Genomic DNA, 25110 nt, shown 5'->3' on the forward strand with positions numbered 1-25110 from the left:
AAGACTCCATAGTACCAGCTGACTCAGTCTAGAATCTTGGTGTGCTTGCAGGCTTTGAAGAACAAGCTGCCATGAATCCTGCAGCTACAAGGAAATGAACTCTATTAACTTGAGTGAGCTTAAAACTAGATCCTTCCCCAGTCAAGCCTCCAGGTGAGAATTCAATCCTGGCTGGCACCTGGATTGCAGCTTACAGAAGACCCAGCTAAGGCCATGTCTGGACTTTAAATCCACAGGAACTGCAAGGTAACCAATGTGTGCTATTTTAAGCTATTAAGTTGTGGTGATTTGTTACACAGCAGTAGAAAGCTAATGAATCCTGTCCTGCCTGGCCCCATGCCTTGTCCTTTCTCTGCTAAGCTATATGTTTCCAAGTAGAGTCCAACTACACTGTACTGCTTTAGATGAAGGCACTCAGGGTCAGATGCAGGCTGCCAAGGACACAGTGTTTGTTATCAGCAGAGTGCTGAATTGGAAATTCTCTTCCACTGAAAATTTAAGGAAACTAACTGAGGGGTTTGTGACAAACTTGAAAGCAGGAGTTAAAGTGGTTCTGCAGAAGCTGTTGCCGTTAATGGTGTTAAAAATGACCAGAAGGCAGAGAAAGATCAAGATAAATGATATTGTTTCACAACATAGAGACCTTTGGAAAATGAGAAAAGGATGGTTTCTGTGGTCTAAAGGGAGATAAATTAGATTATGTCAGGGAGAAAATGATGAGGTGCTCAGTATAATGTTTATAAGAATGCAGACATTTGAAATCTTAGGAAACTGTTATTGGAGACTTAATATGGCTTTTTACTTGTAAATCATACCTTTTTATAAAACAGTATATTAGAAAATATGATAGCAATTATGGCTACATAAATTCTTTTCATTTAACCTAAGCCTATGGGGATATCACACAATTTTGAAAAAAAAAGCAACCTGTTCTTCATAAGAAATCCCCAATAGACCAGAGCAAAAGTTACTCTTCCTCACATGTAAATTTCCAGAATTAGATGGGAAATATAAGCAGCAGAGATATGGGGTTAGAGATCTGGGAACACCTGTCAGATGAGCACTAGGTCCCACAGGGGTTCTTGTCATTTAGTACAGACACACTATCATTATTTCAGCAGAGTGGGAAGACCTGTTCTAACATGGAGCATCTGGGAGTGGGGTATGGAAACCACCACTCTTAGGACCAGAAAAACCAGTGTGAGACTCCAAGTGAACCACTGCTACAAACTCAGAAAGATTGTAGCCATTTTTAAAAACTTGTTATTTTGATGTCAATGGCAAAACAGTGAGGGTATTTACTTTTTAAACCTTCTTCAAATAGGTAACTTTCATGTTCTTCTTGACACGGGCTAAAACTTACCCAGTGGGCATTTTATTAAAAACTAACAGCCTAGACTGGGCGTGGTGGCTCATGCCTGTAATCTCAGCACTTTGGGAGGCTGAGGCGGGTGGATAGTCTGAGGTCAGGAGCTCAAGACCAGCCTGGCCAACATAGTGAGACCCCGTTTCTACCAAAAAATATAAAAATTTAGCTGGGCATGGTGGTGGGCACCTGTAATCCCAGGTACTAGGGAAGCTGAGGCAGGAAAATTGCTTGAACCCAGGAGGCCGAGGTTGCAGTGAGCCGAGATCGTGCCATTGCACTCCAGCCTGGGCAACAACAGTAAAACCCCATCTCAAAAACAAACAAACAAACAAACAAACAAACAAAAAACTAATGGCCTAATCCTAATGTTTTCAAAATGGGCAGAGTTGTCTCATCAATAGAAATGGTTTATAGGATTTAAAAGTAAATGGAAAAGTATTATGTGTCAATGTGTCCAAGAATAAGAAAGGAAGGTTAATTGCACATTCAGGGGGAATCTAGTAGAAGAGAACCTAGAAAGCAAAATTGAAACAGCTTTTTTTTTTTAAAGAAATGATAACTTTATTTATATACATTCTTAGATAGCCAAAGTGATGGTAAACATTTAGATTTTTCTTTTATTTTAGTTTCAGGGGTACTTGTGCAGGTTTGCTATATTGAAGCAACTTTTATCCTCTAGTAACCTATGGCTATGAGTCTATTTTTGTGAATTGTTTTAAGTGCTACATCACTGATACTGTTAATGGCACAGTATGTGGAAAAGCAGACACTGATAACTTTGTGTTGAAATAGGATTCTGAATAGTTGGGTAGGAAATACAAAGAAGTCTTTGAAATACTTTAACCAACTTATTTCACTTATGTTTTTCTTTTAATGTATGCATAAAAGTACTATATGATAAAAATCTGTGTCTAAACTTAAATAATACATTTCAATAAATATAATTAAAGTTTCAAAATAATAAGGAAATGTTATTGTTGAATTCATAGCTATTTTTCTTCCTAGTAGTACGGAAAATAATGTTACCCCTGTAAATAGATTACATCTTCAATTTGATGATCAAATAAGTTCAGTACTTACGATTTTTCTTAGCATTAAATAACAGGAATCTTTTTGTAGAAAGCAAACTAAGGTCCAAGAGATTTGCTTGTGTCTTCTTACAGAGAACTGTTTGATACACGCAACCAGGACTGTATGAGAGGCTGGAAACGTATCTATCAGTACTACTTATCTGTAGTAAAGACTTTTTTAAGCTCATTTATGATTGCACAACCTAAATAACCATACATGGCTGGGCCTGGGAAAGGCAGAAAGGCAGATGGGTGAGTATTTGCCTGAACTGAGTGATATAGGGCACAGTGCACTTGTAGGAGGAGGAGGGGGATTGAATGAAAACCAGAGGGCAGTTATTAAGGCAAGTGGAACTCTGGGGTTTAATCAGCAACATTTATTATAAGGTCATGAACAAATTTTATCCAACTCATGGGTCAATATCCTACTATTATAACAGGGATTCTATTGACACTTAGGGTGGTGACATCTTCATGGAATTGCTGATGTCTCTAATTTTTCAACTGGATCACTTGGCACTCATTTGCAGTTCCTTCCAAATGTAGACTCTAGTTCCTACCTGGTTCAGAATGCACAGGACAATGACTAGGGCTCAGATAAAATGTCTTGCTGTCAATCCCATATAGACCTTGGTGCAACTTTATTGTTTTTGCCTGGTATTCCATTTCTTGCTTCTTAAATCTCAAGTAGATCCCTTAACTGGGTTCCTAAGACCAAAAGACAGTGCTTTTCACCTACTACATACATGCTGCAAATATTTTCTCCCAGTTTGCCATCACATATTTCTGAAATGCAAAATATATATTTGAATATCATTTATTTTTTAACACAATTATACATAACATAGAATACATATAAGCTATAAAAACCACATATTTATGTAATTAAATATATTGTTATTATCTTTTATCACATCCAGATTTGATAAATGAATAGAACCTTTCCTTATCCATGGTGGGTTATGGAAGAACCCTTCCATGTGTTCTAGTACTTGCATGGTTTCATTTTTAACAATTATTTCTCAAGTCAGTTGGAATTTCTTATTTTGTATGGTGCAAGTTAAGGATCCAATTTCATCTTTTTTTCAAATGTCTTTGTTTTTGCTTGTTTTAGAGTCAGGCTCTCTCTCTGTCACCCAGGCTGGTGTGCAGTAACATAATCATAGCTCCCTGCAGCCTTGAACTCTGGGGGCTCAACCGATCCTCCTACCTCAGCCTCCTGAACTGTTAGGACTACAGTTGTATACCACCATGCCCAACTAATTTGTTTGTTTGTTTGTTTTTTGTAGAGATGGGGAAGGCTGTTGGCGGGGAAAGGTCTTGTTACATTGCCCAGGCTGGTCTTGAACTCCTGGGCTCAAGGGTTCCTCCTGCTTAAGGCTCCCAAAGTGCTGAAATTATAGATGTGAACTACTGCCCCTGTCCTCAAATGGCTTATTTTGAATTTTTTGCCCCAGTAATGTAAGACACCATCATCATCATACATTACATTCCCATTTTTTCTTGGATCAATTCCTGGACTCTGTATTTGATTCCACTGGCCCGTCAGTCTATTCAGGTGCCAGAACCACATTGCTTTAGTTATAGAGGCTTCAAAGTCTATTTTCGTATCTGGTAGGATTTCACTTCCTTATGGTTTTTATTTTTCAATGTTGTCATAACTATTCTAACATTTTATTTTTTCCTATTGATTTTAGTATTGACTGGTCTAGCTCCATTAAAATGCCTGTCATTTATTTATTTTTAATCATGTTAAGTTTCTAAATCAACTGAGGAAGAACTCATATACTAATGATGGGTTGAATCATCCTATCCCAAAGAGCAAAGGATGTCTTTGTGTTTATTGAAATCTTCTTCAGGAGTATTTTAAAGTTTTCCTTATAGAGGTTTTGCAAATTTCTTGTTAAGCTCATTCTTAAGTATTTTATATTTTATTTTCTTGCTGGAAATGGGGCTCTCTCATACATTATATCTTCTGATTATTTTTTGTATTGAAGGCTACTGTTTCTTGTATGTTAATTTGACAGTCTGCTTTATTACTTAACTTTTGTTTAGTCTACTTTAACTTTGTTTGCAAATGTACTATCTTTCTATAATATTTTGAGTTAAATGAACTTTTGGAAGATAGTCTGACCTCAAAAACACCATTGTTCTTCAGGAAAAATACATTGTGACTTTTAGAACACAACCCACACATAAAAATAATTGCTTGAATATTTTATCTATGAATATAAAGAAATGTAAAAACACCATATGTTATTTATTTATTTATTTACTGGAGACAGGGTCTCACTCTGTTGCCCAAGATGAAGTGCAATGGCACTGTCATAACTCACTGCAGCCTCCATCTCCTGGGCTCAAGTGATCCTCCCACCTCAGCCTCCTGAGTAACTGGGACCACAGGCGTGCACCACCATGCCTGGCTAATATTTTTGGATTTAAAAAATAGAGACAAGGTCTTGCTATGTTGCCCAGGCTGGTCTCAAACTCCTGACCTCATGTGATCTACCTGCCCCAGCCTCCCAAAGTGCTGGAATTATAGGTGCGAGCCACTGTGCCCAGGCTAAAAACACTATATGTCGTTTTAAAAAACTGTATGGCATGATATGTGCCACTTAATTTATATATTAATATTCTTTTATAGTTTGGATTTAGTGCTATTCCTTTGAATTTTTTTAAACTATAGTCTTGTTGTTAAACAAGAATGTGATTAGAGAAATTTGATATTTCCTTTAAGGAAAGACTTTCTTCGTTTTTTTCACATTAAATGATATATTAAATATTCTGTATATTTAAAGGTTTTTCCAAGTTTGTTGCAGTTTTGCAGTCTGGGTAATTCCTTTTGCTAAGGCAGCACACTTATTTAGTGAACAATAAATGCTTATCTAAAATATTTTAGGTTTGCTTTCTTCACCAGCTGCTGAGATATAATCTTTTTCAACTCAGCATATTGATTTTATGGCCCCTATCATAGCATCCCAGGTTTGGGAAACACCTCAAGAAGCAACTAGTCAGGATCCCTGGCTCCATAGGGAACCAAAGAATTTCACATGAAGATATCCTGCAATTTTTTTCAGAAGCACATTTTAGTGTTTAATAACCCATAATATGCTCAGATTTTTTTCCCGTTATCTATATTAAATAACCAAGGGTGCACAGATTTTGAATTTTAGTTCTAAATGACTGGAATAAATGATCTTTTCTAGGAAAACAGACCTCCACATAGGATCTGAAGAAGTGTTGTAAAATAAATGGAAAATATGACCTCTCTTGCTGGAATAAGAGATTTTCAGTTAAGTGCCCATTTCCACAAAGTGTTTGTGCTGTAGTAAGTTGGGCGATTATCATCCATTGTCTTGGACTCAACCTTCTTGGACTCTCATGAGTAACATTAGCACCGGGATCCAAACTGACAGCACAAGATGAACTATGACACGGAGTCCAAAGATTGTAGTTGTGCTGTCAGGGTGATGGGCTATGCACATGAACAGGCACTCCAGGTATGTGTCAGTAAGCACACTGGGTCGAAGCGGACAAGGACAGGCTGACTTACGGTGTCCGTTGTGCTTGTGCTGTCTGAGCAGAAACTCCCTCCATCCCTCAGCACCACTGTGAGTCTCATCCAGGGCAGGGTCCCCTGTTCTTTTGCTTATCCTCTAAATGCTGGTTTGTCTGATGGTTGACCTTGACATGTCTGATGCTATCTGATTGTGGACAGTCATGTGTTCGCAGGAATAGGCAGAAATTCTAGTGACTGGATAGCATGGTGGTTAAGGGAGCAGTGCCATTCACCACCTGATTCCAACCCAACAGGAAGAATCATGGGCAATGTGTGTGGACAGTGTCTGGGAGAACCTCCCGAACACGCAGGAGACTTCCTTTTTCTTTTTAAAAATAAATGTTATTGTGTATATTTGAGGTTTACAACATGAGGTTATGGGATTCCTGTAGATAGTACAATGGTTACTATAGTGAAGCCATTGAACATAGCTATCACGTCATATGGTTACTTGGCATGTGTGTGTGCAATAAACAAAGGCTTGTTGTCCTAAGCTGCTGGGATTTTTTTGGTTGTTTCTTTTTTTTTTTTTTTTTTTTAATTTTAAGTTCAGGGGTACAAGTGCAGGTTTGCTAGATAGGTAAACTTGTGTCATGGGGATTTGTTGTACAGACTATTTTATCACTCAGGTATTAAACCTAGTACCCATTAGCTGTTTTTGCTGATCCTCTCCCTCCTCCCACCATACACCTGCAAAGGCCCCAGTGTGTGTTGTATCCGTTTATGTAACCATATTGTTTCTTACTGTGGTGTGACTTTGACTCTCCTGACCAATGCAATTTTGAATCACAATTGGAAGGTGCTTCATCTTCCGCTTTTTAAATTTAACATTATGTCAAAAGCATATGGCAATATTTTAAACTAATCGCCCTTTTAAAATGAGGTAAGAGTCCCTTAAGTTGATGCATCATCACTGACTCAACTAATTCCTTACGGTCAATTATTTAGATTTCCTCTCCTCTCCTAATTCATGGAACTTCTTCAGATTAATTTTCAAGAATGAGTTATTGATTTTAATTAAATTATAAATTAACATATTTCTTCCTAGTCTCAAAACACGTAAAAGTTTGAACATCTGTAGTGGGTCACGCCAAGTGGAGCCAATGCACTGTAACTAACAGATGAACTTCACAAGCGTTGTAAATGTGCCATTGAATACAGGAGATAGGCCTATGCCAAGCACCGTGCTGGAGTCTGTAGGTTCACCATCCGGGGCTGGGGCGCTAGTCTCGCTTTTTGGCCAGAGAGTCGTGCGCCGTCACTGGTTTCTCATGGCAGCCACTCCAACCTGCGTGCGCCTTCCCTGATGCGCCCTGCTAGTCGCTCTGCAGGACTCCTGCCTTGTGCGGAAGCTTCCTTAGGGCTGCAAAGACTGGAGGCTCTGAAGGATCTGATTGGCACTGGAGGAAGGGAGGCGTTACCGCCCCCTGTGAGAGCTCGACCAATGAGAGCTGGAAGCGGTGGGTACCCTCCGTAGATAACTCTTGCATCATGCCTCAGATAGACGGTTTGAAGATACAGTCAACTTGTCACCAAAATGTGTCCCGTCCTCCAGTCATGCACTCTCTGTGTTCACCCTCCCTCCTTCCCGGCCTTTCTGCATTTCCCCTTCACTCCTGCTTCACTGGGATTGAGCTCCTCTCAAACATCTTGGCTTATGAAGATTTGCTCAGGCTTTGTTTTCTAGGGAAGCTGGCCATACAAATTACTATTATTTGAAAAGACACTGGAAAAATGAGGGGAAAAAGAGCTAAGTTACTCTTTTTTTGTATTAGCACTTTGACACTACACTCACTTTTTATTTATTTTTTTTTTTTGAGACGAAGTCTGGCTCTGTCACCTGAGCTGTAGTGCAGTAGCACAATCTTGGCTCACTGCAACCTCTGCCTCCCGAGTTCAAGCGATTCTCCTGCCTCAGCCTCCTGAGTAGCTGGGATTATGGCTGCCCGCCACCACACCCGGCTAATTTTTTGTATTTTTAGTAGAGACGGAGTTTCACCATGTTGGCCAGGGTGGTCTGGAACTCCTGACCTCAAGTGATCTGCCCGCCTCGGCCTCCCAAAATGCTGGGATTACAGGCGTGAGCCACCGTGTCCGGCCTACAATCACTATTGTAACATGGCTAAATATATTGCAAAGGAGGCCAAAGATCCTCATTCAAACTCATATTAACTTTATATCAACAAAAAGCTTTGGGGTTTGCACAGCTCAGCTCACAGAGGCTTTTTAAATATTCATAAGCACTAGAGATATACTTTGTGCATGTAACTGGGATACCTTGAGCAGCGGCAAAGAGAGAGAAAATTATAACCTTTCAGGAGACGAAAAAAAAGGTAGATATGTTGGATGATGATTAGGTGCTAGGGGAGACTACTTGTATCTACTACATTTTTTTTAACTGTTGCTCTAACAAGATATGTAATTATAAGTAGAAGTGGAAGTAGTATATTTTATATAAACTAATAAAGAAAATATATTAAATATAAAAAACACAAATGTAATGCATTTTGCCAATGGTTTTAGGTTCCTCGAACAAGTAGTTTGTTTATTTAAAGTTTATGGCTGAAAAGTATATCTAGGAAGAAATTAAAATCCTCTATAATGTTTGTCCTGAAAGCTTAAGTCTTTTAAATCATGTGTACAGTTACAGCAGGCAAAACTATTTTTGTGTTATGCCCTTGAATAGTTCTTGCTCACCAATCATTTAAATTGTGTAGCTTTCACTTCAGTCCTTGTCATGACACATTAGGGTGAGGATGTGTGATGTACCTACCCAAGCGAGGCACTGTAGAACATGTCTCACTGTTTTGCCGCTGAGCAGATGAGAAGCTGGGTATTCATCCACCACTGTCCGTCTGTCATTGACTGAGTGCTGTTTCCAGAATCACTCACTCTCTTGCTTTGCGTGTGGGCACAGTGTGCCCACATCAATATCAAGCTGGGCAATGGATTCCTATATTTCTCAAACCCTATCATCCTATCATTCTGGTGGGTGTGTTCTGTATTTCTGAAAAAGCCCTTTCTTTCCAAGGGCTTTTGTGGGATCCTCTGGGAGCTCAGCTTCTTAGGCTAGAAGTGCCAGGGAATTACTTCACCAAATTCCCCCTTCTACTGGGGCTGCTGGTAAGTACCCTACCTCCTCCTGTAAGATACTGTAAAATTTGCAGGCATTTGTTTACCCTAATGCTACTCAAAATATGCTTTGTTTTCTAGTGCAAACACTTTATAGTCTTGTTAAATTAAGTTTAGCCTAAAGCTGTGTCCTCATGGATTTCAAGTTCAGCCTTTACATTACTCTGTATATAGTGAACTGTAACTTAACTAGATATGGAAACAGTCTGTAAAGTACTCTTGTACCAATAAGCTAGTTTCAGCCAATGAAAGGTGGCCAACTGTTCCAACCAGGTTCAAATAAGGCAAACACTGAGCTGTAACCAATCCAGTTGTTTTTGTACCTCACTTCTGCTTTCTGTACATCACTTTCCTTTTCCTAGTCATAAATCCCCTCCAAGCATGTGGCAGCACAGAGTCTCTCTGAACCTATTCTGATTCTGGTGGCTGCTCAATTTGCAAATCATTCCCCAACAGATGGTATCAGAAGTGGGACCTGCAGTGGGGCATCTAGCAACCCCCAGGAGCATTGAGTGACCAGGCTTGGGACCCACCGGGCGCAGGGTGTCCATTGTTCTCTCGAAGCAACTGAGAATTGTGGGTAAGTTTTCTCTTAGATTCTGAAGCTCCATGGAGTTCTGTTTTGAGTTCTTCCTTTATAGGCATCCTTGGGCATAGACATGGCTATTTGGTATCCAGGATGACTGGGGAAGACAGGAAGGGTACCTGTAGTCATAGTTTCAAAATTATTTTCAGTAATTCATAATCTTAAAGTCATCTTATGTTAAATTAAGTAATAGATAATCATAAAATGGCTGAGTCATTTCTAAATAAGTTAAAATACTGAAACATTAATTATTAAACATAAATACAGGTTAACATATGTTGTTATCTTATTTTCACATGATATAGAACAGCTACATATGTTTAGATCTGTTAAACAAAAAAGTGAGAAGCATAGCTTTCAAAAAATTATAAAGTGGTTTTCATCTTCAAATAGTTTTATAAAATAATTCAAAATTACTTCCTAGGGTTTTCACAAGCAATTAGGGTTACTAAGAGTTAAAATTGTAGTTAATATATGTAATTAAAACTACTAGATATAAAAGAAACAATTCTGTATACAGAGTGTATAAAAATAGCAAGATATATTTTTGGTAAGAAAAGTTATAAAAGCATAAAAAATGTGCATTTGTCAAGAACATATAATTTTGTCCAGTTTAGAAGTTACTTAAAAGTCATTTCAAATTAAAAGAATAAAAAATATGTAGGTAAACTAAATAAATATAAAAAGTTGGAAATTATCTCAACTATGATCATTTTAAAATAGTTTCCACAGTTAATTCCTTAACTTTGATGCATTTCTAGTCTATTGTTGAAGGACTCAAATGTATTTTGTATTTCCTTCAATGAATTTTCTAGCTGTAGAATTTCTATTTGGTTCCTTTAAAAAATCTATCTTCTTGGTAAATTTCCTATTAATATCTTGAATTATTATTCTGATTTCTTTGTGTTGTTTTTCAGAATTCTCTTGAACCTCATTGGGCTTCTTTAAACTCAATATTTTGAATTCTTTAGCTAGGATTCTGAAAATTTCTTTTTTATTAAGGTTTATTGCTAGAAAATTATTGTGTTTCTTTGGAGGTGTCATACTTCCTTGTTTCCTGTTTCATGTGTCCTTATGTTGACATTTGCACATCTGATAAGACTCTTTCCTGGAGATGTATCTCGGTGTTAGTTGGGTGGCATACTTCCCTTTGATTCTGGGTACATGCAGTAGTGTAGTCTCTGATTTCTTTGGCTGTAAACAGTGTTAGTGGTACCTGTGATTTCCTCAGTGGGCTGGGTGGCAGTTTTAGTGAAGGCTGTGGTAAAGCTGTGCTGGGTACTGTGATGCCAGTGGGCCAGTCTGCAGGCCAGTGGTGGCAGTGGTGGGCTGGGTGTGCCTATCTTTGTGTCCCAGGGCAGTGTATTCTGGCACCTGTGTTGATAGCTATCAGCAGGCTAATTCTTGGGCTTCAAGGTGGCTTGCTTGGATTCTGGCAGTGGCAGCAGTAGACTGAGCAGGGGGGCACGTTCTTAGGCCCTCAGAAGTCAGTGTGGCATGGGCAATGTCTGCAGCAGTGGTGAGATGATTCTCTGGATCTGCAGCAGTGTGCACTGATGTTGGTGGTGACTGAGATGGGCTGAGTGGCCCAGTCTGCAAGTTCGCAGGTGGTACTGGCGGGTAGGTGCCAGCTGTGTTGGTAGCGACTGGGAGTTTAGGAGCAACAACCTCAGGCCCCTGGGAAGAGTGATCAGGTGCCCAAGTTGGCGGCTTGAGCAATCCCCAGGACCCTGGGCTGTGTGCTCTGTCTAGGGAGGGTGGGGGGCAAGGCTGGGCTGGGCTGGGCAGGCTTGTGCTGAGGCCCTCAATGATGAGAGTCGGCACTGGTCATGGGGGCTGGGGATGGTGCAGTCCTCAGCCAGACAGAGTACTTGTGTGAGGGGTTGTGGCAGCTGCACTTAAGCCCTGCCACTGGAGAAGGTGGAGCTGTCCTCAGTGAGCACAGCCCAGTCCAGCAGGTGGAAAATGCACATCCCGCTCACACTCCGGTCTAGGCAGGGTTTGCTCTCCAGCTCCAGCAGCGGTATCCTGCGCCTAGCTCACACTCCCACTCCAGCTACAGGAGCCCTCACCCAACTGGCGACCAAGCCCTCAATTTTGCTGTAGGAGGTTATTTCTTGTCATTAAGAGTTTTAAAGCCAAACATAGTTTAAAAACGGGAAGCAGAGGCTGCTGTGTCATTCATTTGTTCTGTAAAAAGAACCCAGTGGGAGCCCAGCTACTATGGCATCTAAAAGTAAAAGCTCTTGGCATCCTGAGCTGTGGCCAAATTCTGCCATCCCTTTGGCTTTTAAGCCATGGAAATTGATTTTAGATCCTCAGGGTTAGAATTACTCACCCCATTCACAATATTATAATTCTTTAAAGAATGTTTTGTGTGGTTGCACTAGAGTTTGCAATGTACATTTATAACAAAGTACACTTAATACTAAAATGCTTCATAGGTAGTGCTGATATCTATCAGAGTTTTCCCAATTCATCTCTTCCTTATAAAATTGCTGTCATTAATTACACATATTCATATAATATAATCATGCAATATGTTGTTTTTGTCAGCTTAAAAGAAAGAAGCCTAAGCATAAAATGTAATTTGAAGAGTATACTTGAACCAAAGTGAGGACAGCTGCCTGGGACCACTTCCAAGTGGCCTTGGGGAGTGCTCTGTCACCTTTGTTACAAGCAGGCTTTTAAATGCAAAAGGGAACAAGTAATGGGCTGATACAAAGTTGTTTGACAGGAAGTCTCATAAGAGAATTTACTTTTACCTCTACATATTATTTATCTTTTCTTGATGGTTTCTTTACATAGACTGAGTTTCTGAATATATCATTTTATGTTTCCCTGAACAAATTTTTATAGAGATATTTTTTAAAAGCAGATTTAGGTTCAGAGCAAAATCAGACAGCAAGGACAGAGAATTCCCATATACCCTTCACTGCCACACATACATAGCCTCCCCACTACCAATATCCTGGTCCAAAGTGGTATATTTGTTACTGTCAATAAACTTTTGTTGACTTTCACTGGTCAATATCACCAAAAGTTCACAGTTGACATTAAAGATCATTCTGGGGTTGTACATTTTATGGGTTCTGACAAATCTGTAATGACATGTATCCATTATTATAGTGTCATGCAGAATAGTTTCACTCCTCTAAATATCCTGTCTTCTGCCTATTATCTCTCCCTTTCCCCTAGTACCTTGCAATCACTTATATTTTTACTGTTGCCACAGTTTTGCCTTTTCCAGAATGTCATACAGTTGAGACCATACAGTATGTAGCATTTTAAGATTGATTTCTTTCACTTAGTAATATGCATTTCCATTTCTTCTATGTCTGTTCATGGTTTGATGCTCATTTCTTTTTAGCACTAAATAATATTTCATTGTCTCAATGTACCAGAGTTAACTCATTCATTCCCCTGCTAAAAGACATTGTAGGAGCCAAAGAAAACTTCCCCTCCACTCTCTGAAGGTTCACTGAAAAGTCAACTCACAAAAGGAGATTATTAGGAAAAATGGAATCAAATTTATTAATATGCACATAAAGGAGAACCATAGAGTGATTACCTCAAGCCCCAGTGCGGTTCAGAAACTTATATACCATCTTGAGGTTACTGAAAGAATGGGGGCTTGGATTATCGTGAAACAGATTATGGTGGCAAAATAGGTTATGGGAGGGGGAGAAGAGAAGGCCTGGCTAGCAAAGGTGGACTCGTTATGTAAATACACTCTCACAGATGGCAGTCCTCAGAAAGAATAAATGGTAAATGTTTCTTTCAGTTGCTTAAAGGTGTCAGACTCTCAGTTTATCATTCCTAGATCCAGACAAGGAAAGGCCTCAGAAAAAGCCAGGCTGCATCAATGCAGATCTCTACAAAGCAAATCTCCCCTACAAAAGACAACTTTTCATTTCTTCTTGCACCTTCAGCCTTTCTTAATATCTATCTTCAAGGAAATATATTTTAGGGTGAAATATTTGAATTTTCTTCAACATCTGGGTTGCTTCCCAGTTTTGGCAATTAATAAAACTGCTGTAAACATCTATGTGCAGGTTTGGAGTTGGACATACATTTTCAGCCCCTTTGGGATCAATATCCAAAAGCATGATTGCTTTATCTAGTACTAAGAGTAAGTTTAATTTTGTAAGAAACTGTTGAACTGCTGTTACAGTATGTTCCTAGCCAACAGGCAGAATGGACTCCCTGTGGCTAACTGAGGTGATCAAAGTTAAAACAGAATGAGGTGGCCATGTCTGGGTGAGGAAGCTGTTATGTATTCTGTGCTCGCAGAAAAATGTTGTAAACATGTCACAGGACCTCCCTTTCTACAATTAAGCCAAATCAGTTCTTGTTGGCAGTGCTGAGATAGACTACAGCTGGAAATTCCCCAACTTACTTCAAACAAACCACCTGGTCCCAACTGACTGACCATCTGGAATCAGCCAATTAAGAGAGACTGGTGATTTGGGACTTAAAGGTCCCCCAATCAAGATTCTGTTCTCATTCCCCTGACTCCTCTCTCCTGCCCTGCAAGTTTTGCCTTTATCATCACTCATTCTCTAACCTCACCCCCTCAGGGAAGGCTTTCATTTTACAGTGGGGGCTGTATCTCCCCAGTCCACAGATTTTTTTTTTTTTTTTTTTAAGAAAATAAAACTCTCCTTTTCTCCTCTGCAGATACCATGGTCTTTTGTTAACACTGTCTTTCAAAGTGGCTGCACCATTTTGCATTCCCACCAGCAATGAATGAGAATCCTCATTGCTCCAAATCCTTGCCAGCATGTGGTATTCTCAGTGTCCTGGATTTTTGCCATTCTAATGGATATGTAGTACTACTTCACTGTTGCATTACCTCTCTACTTACATTACCCATTTGTCCTTGCATTTTGTCTACTTCTTCCATTAGAGTCCTTAGCATATTAATTATAATTACAGTTATCTTACATTCCCTGTTTGATAAATCCAAAATCTGGGTCTTGTCTGAGTCTAGTTCTGATGCTTGCTTTGTCTCTTCAGACTGTTTTTTTTTAATGCCCTTGATATGTCTTGCAACTTTTTTCTTGAAAGCCAGACATGACGTATGAGGTAATGGGAACTGAGGCGAATAGGCCTTTCCTGTGAGGTTTTATGTTAATCTGTTAGGGGGATGGGTTGCATTTAATATTTGCTGCTGCTGCAGGTGTCAGAGATTTCAATTTCCTATAGTATCCTTGTTTTCTGCCTCCTTTGTATTCTTGGGTTTTCCCTAAAATCTCTTTCTAAATAGCATATTGATGGAAATCAAAATATTTAACCTCAAGATATACTTCTTTGACATATTTTGAGTTGACTGTTCATATGGCCTGCAAACAGAAGTAGCCCTGAAAAGCTGTCTTTTATGGGGGAGATTTGCATCTGTAGAGAATCAGCATTGATGCAGCCAGGCTTTCTCTGAGGCCCTTGTTTGTCTGGCTCTAGGAAAGATTAACTGAGAGTCTGACACCTTTAAAGTTATGAAAGAAACATTTCCCATCTATTCTCTCTGAGGGCTGCTGCCTATGAGATTTCATCAATATAAAAAAACTGCCTTTGCTAGCCAGGCCTGCTCTTTCCACTCCATAACCTGTGTGGCCACTATATCCTAACTTACCATCATCACCTGTTTATGGCCATGCGCTGAACCCCCATTTCTTCTGCAATTTCAAGATGGTAAACAAGCTTCTGTATCCCAGTGGGGCATTGGGATAATCACTCTGTGGTTCTCCCCATGCATGTTAATAAATTTGTATGCCGTTTCTCCTATAAATCTGCCTTTTGTAAGTTGATTTTTCAGTGATCCTTCAGAGGGCTAAGGGAATCCCTTAGCCCCTACAGTGTGCATCTTGTAGCTTTTAAAGCTGAGATCCCCTGATATTATACTGAGGCCTCATTGATGTGGTGGTAAGGTGCAAGGGGAGGGTAAGTGTTTTATAATTCTGTGAGTAAATTCAGCCTTTCAGTGTGCCTATGTCCCTGGGCTGTGTACCTTGAGAAATAAAAGCATAATTCTAAGCCCCCAATCAACTGAATGTGCCATCTCTTGGCTAAGGGAACCTGAGAGTAATCTTGAAAACAGTTCTTGGCCATGACAGGATGGGAGGGGTCAGACACACCTTGTTACACTTCCTCCCTAGCTCAACATGATTAGGATCAGGCTTCTTCCCTAAAGACCTAACAGAAACCAGCCCTTTCCAGAGACTCCACGTCTGATATCAACCAACCACCTGATGATGCCCCTTCCTTTTTGCCTGATAAGAAACGATTGACCACAGAGTCATTCTGGCCATACTACAGAGATTGCACAATGAGGATTTTCATGTCCTCTGCTTTACCTTTTGATGTTGGATGCCTGAAAACACCCTTGAATCATGCTAATGCCACTACGTTTTCACAGGACCCATGAAGGAGCATCAAGCTCAGCCTCAGGTGTGTATGTTTCCCCTTTTATAAGTCTTCATGACTCCTATAGCTTATCAAATATGTATATTTGGAAACCCTACTCAGCAAAAATTCTGTTCCCTTTGCCCCTCCCGAGAAGTATAGAGGCTATGCTTCCCAACCTGTCAGAATGACCAACCTGCCAGAATGGCCAACCTGCAGGCTGCAGCCCTTTATGAGAAATACAGTTCTCCTTTCCAAGTTTATGAACCTTGTCTTTCTTCAGTTGATAACTTCTCAAGTCTTAGTTTCTCTCCTCCTTAAGTGAGATAGAAAGGCTGGAATGTACGGGAATTGGGTTATTTCCCTTCTCTCCTCTCAGATGAGGCTTTCGTAAAGTTTTTCTGTATGGATTGGACTTTGCTATGGAGAAGGCTCTAGAAATATTCCAAAATGGTTATTTCCTTATCCTCTTCCTGCCAGAAACATGAAGGGTTTTTCTTGGCTCTTCAGCATGAGAACATGGTGGGGTTCCTAGAGGTAAAAGCCTTGAAAAAGGGGTCCCCTAAGGCTCTAGATACCAGGAATCTCTCCCTCTCATACTAGTGTACATTTTACTTCTAGCACTTCCTCAAGGTTATTGTTTAAGTGTTCCTACCAGCTTGTGGCTCTACTGGCATTTGAACCAGATAAGCTGATCTTGACTGCACTTCCCTATATGCAGTTGTCTCTTCAGATTTTGGGCTGGCAATTTTCCCTGTGAACTGAAGGCAAAAAGGAACTTCTATTTGAGGAACGCAAGTCCTTTTAAAGATCTGGCCCAGGGAGAGATTAAAATGAGACAGCAAATCATACCTTACTCCCCCACTTGAGTTATGTATTCATCTCTTGAAACTGGTTGATTGCCCCAAGTAGCTATAAATTAACCTAATAGGCTGGGCTCCGTGGCTCACGCCTGTAATCCCAGCACTTTAGAGGCCAAGGCGGGCAGATCACCTGAGGTGAGGAGTTTGAGACCAGCCTGGCCAACATGGTGAAACCACGTCTTTACTAAAAATACAAAAATTAGCCAGGTGTAGTGGTGTGCGCCTGTAATCCCAGCTACTTGGGAGGCTGAGGCAGGGGAATCGCTTGAACCTGGGAGGTAGTGATTGCAGTGAGCCAAGATTGCACCACTATACTCCAGCCCGTGTGACAGAGAGAGACTCTATCTCAAAAAAATAAAATAAAAAAAAAATTAACCTAATAATGCCATACAGGACACTATAAACCACACCCTATAGCTTAAGAATGTATAGCCAATCACTAATCAATATTATTTCTATAAACCAACAAGAATTCCTGGCAAACAATCTTGTATCAGCCCACTCATTCTCTCCCTCTTTTTTTTTTTTGGCTTTTAAAAATCCACTTGTAACTGCTGCTAATAGGAGTGTGTATTCAGGGAAACTTGAATGTATGTTCTTTGGTTGCAATTGGCAAGATTTGCACAAATAAATTTCTTCTTACTTATATTAATTTTGCCTCAGCCTCTTCTTTTGTAAACCAAAAATGAAATTAAAAGCCCCTAACCAACGGAATGGATCCTTTCTTTTGGCCAAAGACATTCCAGAGTAAAACTGGAAAACTAGTTCAGGCCACAATGGCATGGACAGGTTGGACATGCGTCATTACACTCTCCTCCCTTTGGAATTCAGGCACAATTAACCAGCATTAACAGTAAAACAGAGATCTTAAGAGTGACAAAACAGACTCTTTGTAGCACAAAATATCAAATTCCAACCTGGCTCTAATATAGCATCATATGATAGGTAGCAGGCTCTGAAAGAAATTGAAGTATTTCACTCTAAAATATATTCCTTTGACATATTTTGAAATAGCACTGCAAAGCTGTCTCTTGTGGGGAACGTCTACATCCTATTGAGAATCTCCCTTTGTTTTCAGATCGTTTCTTGATGCAAGACAGATTTAACTGAGTCTGACACATTTTTAGGTCTGATAAAAGACATTTTTCATCTATTCTCTCTGAAGCCTGCTAACTGGAGGCTTCATTGACATAATAAAAACCATGGTCTCCACAACCCCTTATCTCAACCCAGACACTCCTTTCTGTTGATTCTAGGTCTTTGGATAATATCTTAACTCTTTCAATCAATTGCCAGTTAGAAAAATCTTTGAATCCACTTATGACCTGGAGGCATGCCCCTACCCTGCTTCAGGTTTTCCTGCCTTTCCTTACCAAACCAATGTACATCTTACATGAATAGATTGATATCTGCCTGTAACTTCTGCCCCCTGAAATGTATAAAATCAAGCTGTAACCCAACCACCTTGGGCACATGTTCTCAGGACCTCTTGAGACTGTGCCTTAGGCTTTGGCCACTCATAGTTGGGTCAGAATAAATCCCTCCAAATATTTTACAGAGTTTTACTCTTTTTTAATAGGGAGGGAGGTTTAATAGGTGGAAGAGAAGAGAAAGAGAAACAGCTCTCTGTCTATATAGAGAGGGGTCTCCTAGTGGAATGGACTGGCTGGTGGCAAATTTGCTGGATTTTATAGTCCCCCTTTTTTATCAATACCTTTTAGGTTGACATATCTGGCATAAGTCAGCAGGATTCAGAGTGACCACCCCAACCATCTGAATGTGGCATTTGGTACCAGCATGACCATTTGTCTTCAGAAGTCCCACCAGTTGTCGCTGGTCAGTTCTCCTGAATTTTGACCTCTCACATTTTGGTCTTATTTGGGCTTACTTGGTCCCATTTGGACCTCTTATTTGGGCTGTTTCTCTTTCTCTTCTCTTCTCTTCTGCCTATTAAACCTCCTCCTTGGTAATTTTACCAAGGCTTTAACTGGAATGGCATATTTTCAAATATGACCAGACTGCTTTGGGGAATGCAGGTTGAGTTTACAGAGCCAATAAACAGCCTGTACCTTGTTTACGTGATTCCTTTACAAAGTTTCTATTCTTGCAGTAGGTAAAGAGTGTTATCTTCTGACCGGCCCAGGATCCTCAAGTTATTTTGGCACCTTGAGAAGATAGGAATTCACTCAATTTGTACAAGTATTACAGACAGTCTAATGAAAAGTCTTTCACTTGGTTAGCCTCAAGGGTTTTAAAAGTCTCATCTGAAATTTCCTATGAAATAAGTCCCAGCAAAGCCAACTTTAAAATAACCTATATGGCCATTCTGTATTCTTGTTGCACTTTATGCAAATAAGGAGGCCAAGTATAATAAGACTAAAACTTGTTTTGCAAATAAATTGGTCCTGCTAAGATCATCTTTGATAAAAATGGAGAAGTGGTAAAAGAAAAAAAGTATGTTTCAGAAGGAAGTTATAGTACATCTATTGTTAGCTTATAGCTTTGTTTGTTATTCTTGAGTTTTATTATTTGTCTACAATTTGGAGTAGATGCTGAATCACTTCTTGGCAACAACAAATCTCTATAAAAGATCCCAGTTTAATTTTCTTTATAAAAGAACCCAGTTTTAGTTGATGCCCTGATGAAATAGATTTTGTTGTTGTTGTTGTGGCACACAAATCCTCTTTTGATTGTGCACTGTCTCTACTATTTAATTTTTTATTTTTTTATTTTTTATTATTATTATACTTTAAGTTTTAGGGTACATGTGCACAATGTGCAGGTTAGTGACATATGTATACATGTGCCATGCTGGTGCGCTGCACCCACTAACTCATCATCTAGCATTAGGTATATCTCCCAATGCTATCCCTCCCCCTCCCCCCACCCCACAACAGTCCCCAGAGTGTGATGTTCCTCTTCCTGTGTCCATGTGATCTCATTGTTCAATTCCCACCTATAAGTGAGAATATGCAGTGTTTGGTTTTTTGTCCTTGCAATAGTTTACTGAGAATGATGATTTCCAATTTCATCCATGTCCCTACAAAGGACATGAACTCATCATTTTTTATGGCTGCATAGTATTTCATGGTGTATATGTGCCACATTTTCTTAATCCAATCTATCATTGTTGGACATTTGGGTTGGTTCCAAGTCTTTGCTATTGTGAATAATGCCGCAATAAACATACGTGTGCATGTGTCTTTACAGCAGCATGATTTATAGTTCTTTGGGTATATACCCAGTAATGGGATGGCCGGGTCAAATGGTATTTCTGGTTCTAGATCCCTGAGGAATTGCCATGCTGACTTCCACAATGGTTGAATTAGTTTACAGTCCCACCAACAGTGTAAAAGTGTTCCTATTTCTCCACATCCTCTCCAGCACCTGTTGTTTCCTGACTTTTTAATGATTTCCATTCTAACTGGTGTGAGATGGTATCTCATTGTGGTTTTGATTTGCATTTCTCTGATGGCCAGTGATGGTGAGCATTTTTTCATGTGTTTTTTGGCTGCATAAATGTCTTCTTTTGAGAAGTGTCTGTTCATGTCCTTTGCCTACTTTTTGATGGGGTTGTTTGTTTTTTTCTTGTAAATTTGTTTGAGTTCATTGTAGATTCTGGATATTAGCCCTTTGTCAGATGAGTAGGTTGCGAAAATTTTCTCCCATTTTGTAGGTTGCCTGTTCACTCTGATGGTAGTTTCTTCTGCTGTGCAGAAGCTCTTTAGTTTAATTAGATCCCATTTGTCAATTTTGTCTTTTGTTGCCATTGCTTTTGGTGTTTTAGACATGAAATCCTTGCCCATGCCTATGTCCTGAATGGTAATGCCTAGGTTTTCTTCTAGGTTTTTTATGGTTTTAGGTCTAACATTTAAGTCTTTAATCCATCTTGAATTGATTTTTGTGTAAGGCGTAAGGAAGGGATCCAGTTTCAGCTTTCTACATATGGCTAGCCAGTTTTCCCAGCACCATTTATTAAATAGGGAATCCTTTCCCCATTGCTTGTTTTTCTCAGGTTTGTCAAAGATCAGATAGTTGTAGATATGCAGCATTATTTCTGAGGGCTCTGTTCTGTTCCATTCATCTATATCTCTGTTTTGTTACAAGTACCATGCTGTTTTGATTACTGTAGCCTTGTAGTATAGTTTGAAGTCAGGTAGTGTGATGCCTCCAGCTTTGTTCTTTTGGCTTAGGATTGACTTGGTGATGCGGGCTCTTTTTTGGTTCTGTATGAACTTTAAAGTAGTTTTTTCCAATTCTGTGAAGAAAGACATTGGTAGCTTGATGGGGATGGCATTGAATCTATAAATTACCTTGGGCAGTATGGCCATTTTCACGATATTGATTCTTCCTACCCATGAGCAGGGAATGTTCTTCCATTTGTTTGTATCCTCTTTTATTTCCTTGAGCAGTGGTTTGTAGTTCTCCTTGAAGAGGTCCTTCACATCCCTTGTAAGTTGGATTCCTAGGTATTTTATTCTCTTTGAAGCAATTGTGAATGGGAGTTCACTCATGATTTGGCTCTCTGTTTGTCTGTTATTGGTGTATAAGAATGCTTGTGATTTTTGTACATTGATTTTGTATCCTGAGACTTTGTTGAAGTTGCTTATCAGCTTAAGGAGATTTTGGGCTGAGATAATGGGGTTTTCTAGATATGCAATCATGTCATCTGCAAACAGGAACAATTTGACTTCCTCTTTTCCTAATTGAATACCCTTTATTTCCTTCTCCTGCCTAATTGCCCTGGCCAGAACTTCCAACACTATGTCGAATAGGAGTGGTGAGAGAGGGCATTCCTGTCTTGTGCCCGTTTTCAAAGGGAATGCTTCCAGTTTTTGCCCATTCAGTATGATATTGGCTGTGGGTTTGTCATAGATAGCTCTTATTATTTTGAGATACGTCCCATCAATACCTAATTTATTGAGAGTTTGTAGCATGAAGGGTTGTTGAATTTTGTCAAAGGCCTTTTCTGCATCTATTGAGATAATCATGTGGTTTTTGTCTTTGGTTCTGTTTACATGCTGGATTACATTTATTGATTTGTGTATATTGAACCAGCCTTGCATCCCAGGGATGAAGTCCACTTGATCATGGTGGATAAGCTTTTTGATGTGCTGCTGGATTCGGTTTGCCAGTATTTTATTGAGGATTTTTGCATCAATGTTCATCAAGGATATTGGTCTAAAATTCTCTTTTTTGGTTGTGTCTCTGCCTGGCTTTGGTATCAGGATGATGCTGGCCTCATAAAATGAGTTAGGGAGGATTCCCTCTTTTTCTATTGATTGGAATAGTTTCAGAAGGAATAGTACCAGTTCCTCCTTGTACCTTTGGTAGAATTCGGCTGTGAATCCATCTGGTCCTGGACTCTTTTTGGTTGGTAAGCTATTGATTATTGCCACAATTTCAGATCCTGTTATTGGTTTATTCAGAGATTCAACTTCTTCCTGGTTTAGTCTTGGGAGAGTGTATGTGTTGAGGAATTTATCCATTTCTTCTAGATTTTCTAGTTTATTTGTGTAGAGGTATTTGTAGTATTCTCTGATGGTAGTTTGTATTTCTGTGGGATCGGTTGTGATATCCCCTTTATCATTTTTTATTGTGTCTATTTGATTCTTCTCTCTTTTGTTCTTTATTAGTCTTGCTAGCAGTCTATCAATTTTGTTGATCTTTTCAAAAAACCAGCACCTGGATTCATTGATTTTTTGAAGGGTTTTTTGTGTCTCTATTTCCTTCAGTTCTGCTCTGATTTTAGTTATTTTTTGCCTTCTGCTAGCTTTTGAATGTGTTTGCTCTTGCTTTTCTAGTTCTTTTAATTGTGATGTTAAGGTGTCAATTTTAGATCTTTCCTGCTTTCTCTTGTGGGCATTTAGTGCTATAAATTTCCCTCTACACACCGCTTTGAATGTGTCCCCGAGATTCTGGTATGCTGTGTCTTTGTTCTCGTTGGTTTCAAAGAAGATCTTTATTTCTGCCTTCATTTCGTTATGTACCCAGTAGTCATTCAGGAGCAGGTTGTTCAGTTTCCATGTAGTTGAGCAGTTTTGAGTGAGTTTCTTAATCCTGAGTTCTAGTTTGATTGCACTGTGGTCTGAGAGATAGTTTGTTATAATTTCTGTTCTTTTACATTTGCTGAGGAGAGCTTTACTTCCAACTATGTGGTCAATTTTGGAATAGGTGTGGTGTGGTGCTGAAAAAAATGTATATTCTGTTGATTTGGTGTGGAGAGTTCTGTAGATGTCTATTAGGTCCGCTTGGTGCAGAGCTGAGTTCAATTCCTGGGTATCCTTGTTGACTTTCTATCTCGTTGATCTGTCTAATGTTGACAGTGGGGTGTTAAAGTCTCCCATTATTAATGTGTGGGAGTCTAAGTCTCTTTGTAGGTCACCCAGGACTTGCCTTATGAATCTGGGTGCTCCTGTATTGGGTGCATATATATTTAGGATAGTTAGCTCTTCTTGTTGAATTGATCCCTTTACCATTATGTAATGGCCTTCTTTGTCTCTTTTGATCTTTGTTGGTTTAAAGTCTGTTTTATCAGAGACTAGGATTGCAACCCCTGCCTTTCTTTTGTTTTCCATTTGCTTGGTAGATCTTCCTCCATCCCTTTATTTTGAGCCTATGTGTGTCTCTGCACGTGAGATGGGTTTCCCGAATGCAGCACACTGATGGGTCTTGACTCTTTATCCAATTTGCCAGTCTGTGTCTTTTAATTGGAGCATTTAGTCCATTTACATTTAAAGTTAATATTGTTATGTGTGAATTTGATCCTGTCATTATGATGTTAGCTGGTTATTTTGCTCATTAGTTGATGCAGTTTCTTTCTTGTCTCGATGGTCTTTACATTTTGGCATGATTTTGCAGGGGCTGGTACCAGTTGTTCCTTTCCATGTTTAGTGCTTCCTTCAGGAGCTCTTTTAGGGCAGGCCTGGTGGTGACAAAATCTCTCAACATTTGCTTGTCTGTAAATTATTTTATTTCTCCTTCACTTATGAAGCTTAGTTTGGCTGGATATGAAATTCTGGGTTGAAAATTCTTTTCTTTAAGAATGTTGAATATTGGCCCCCACTCTCTTCTGGCTTGTAGAGTTTCTGCCAAGAGATCCGATGTTAGTCTGATGGGCTTCCCTTTGAGGGTAACCTGACCTTTCTCTCTGGCTGCCTTTAACATTTTTTCCTTCATTTCCACTTTGGTGAATCTGACAATTATGTGTCTTGGAGTTGCTCTTCTCGAGGAGTATCTTTGTGGCGTTCTCTGTATTTCCTGAATCTGAATGTTGGCCTGCCTTGCTAGATTGGGGAAGTTCTCCTGGATAATATCCTGCAGAGTGTTTTCCAACTTGGTTCCATTCTCCCCGTCACTTTCAGGTACACCAATCAGACGTAGATTTGGTCTTTTCACATAGTCCCATGTTTCTTGGAGGCTTTGTTCTTTCATTTTTATTCTTTTTCTCTAAACTTCCCTTCTCGCTTCATTTCGTTCATTTCATCTTCCATCACTGATACCCTTTCTTCCAGTTGATCGCATCGGCTCTTGAGTCTTCTGCATTCTTCGCGTAGTTCTCCAGCCTTGGCTTTCAGCTCCATCAGCTCCGTTAAGCACTTCTCTGTATTGGTTATTCTAGTTATACATTCTTCTAAATTTTTTTCAAAGTTTTCAACTTCTTTGACTTTGGTTTGAATTTCCTCCTGTAGCTCGGAGTAGTTTGATCGTCTGAAGGCTTCTTCTCTCAGCTCATCAAACTCATTCTCCATCCAGCTTTGTTCCGTTGCTGGTGAGGAATTGCGTTCCTTTGGAGGAGGAGAGGTGCTCTGCTTTTTAGAGTTTCCAGTTTTTCTGCTCTGTTTTTTCCCCATCTTTGTGGTTTTATCTACTTTTGGTCTTTGATGATGGTGATGTACAGATGGGTTTTTGGTGTAGATGTCCTTTCTGTTTCTTATTTTTCCTTCTAACAGAGAGGACCCTCAGCTGCAGGTCTGTTGGAGTTTGCTAGAGGTCCACTCCAGACCCTGTTTGCCTGGGTATCAGCAGCGGTGGCTGCAGAACAGTGGTTTTTTGTGAACCGTGAATGCTGCTGTCTGATCGTTCCTCTGGAAATTTTGTCTCAGAGGAGTACCCAGCCGTGTGAGGTG

The 25110-nt window shown here is 39.6% G+C and overlaps 1 long non-coding RNA gene across 2 annotated transcripts in view; it reads left to right on the forward strand.

Annotated features, from left to right (window-relative positions):
* LINC02842 (long intergenic non-protein coding RNA 2842) overlaps positions 1-25110 on the forward strand; it is a 77208-nt gene that overhangs the window by 40240 nt on the left and 11858 nt on the right. For both annotated transcript variants that reach the window (NR_187554.1, NR_187553.1), the window contains exons 2-3: positions 52-246; positions 9587-9710. This is a non-coding gene — a long non-coding RNA (long intergenic non-protein coding RNA 2842). The remainder of the gene's footprint in view (positions 1-51; positions 247-9586; positions 9711-25110) is intronic.

This window comes from Homo sapiens, chromosome 8 (assembly GCF_000001405.40).
Source record: "Homo sapiens chromosome 8, GRCh38.p14 Primary Assembly".
Classification (NCBI taxonomy): domain Eukaryota; kingdom Metazoa; phylum Chordata; class Mammalia; order Primates; family Hominidae; genus Homo; species Homo sapiens.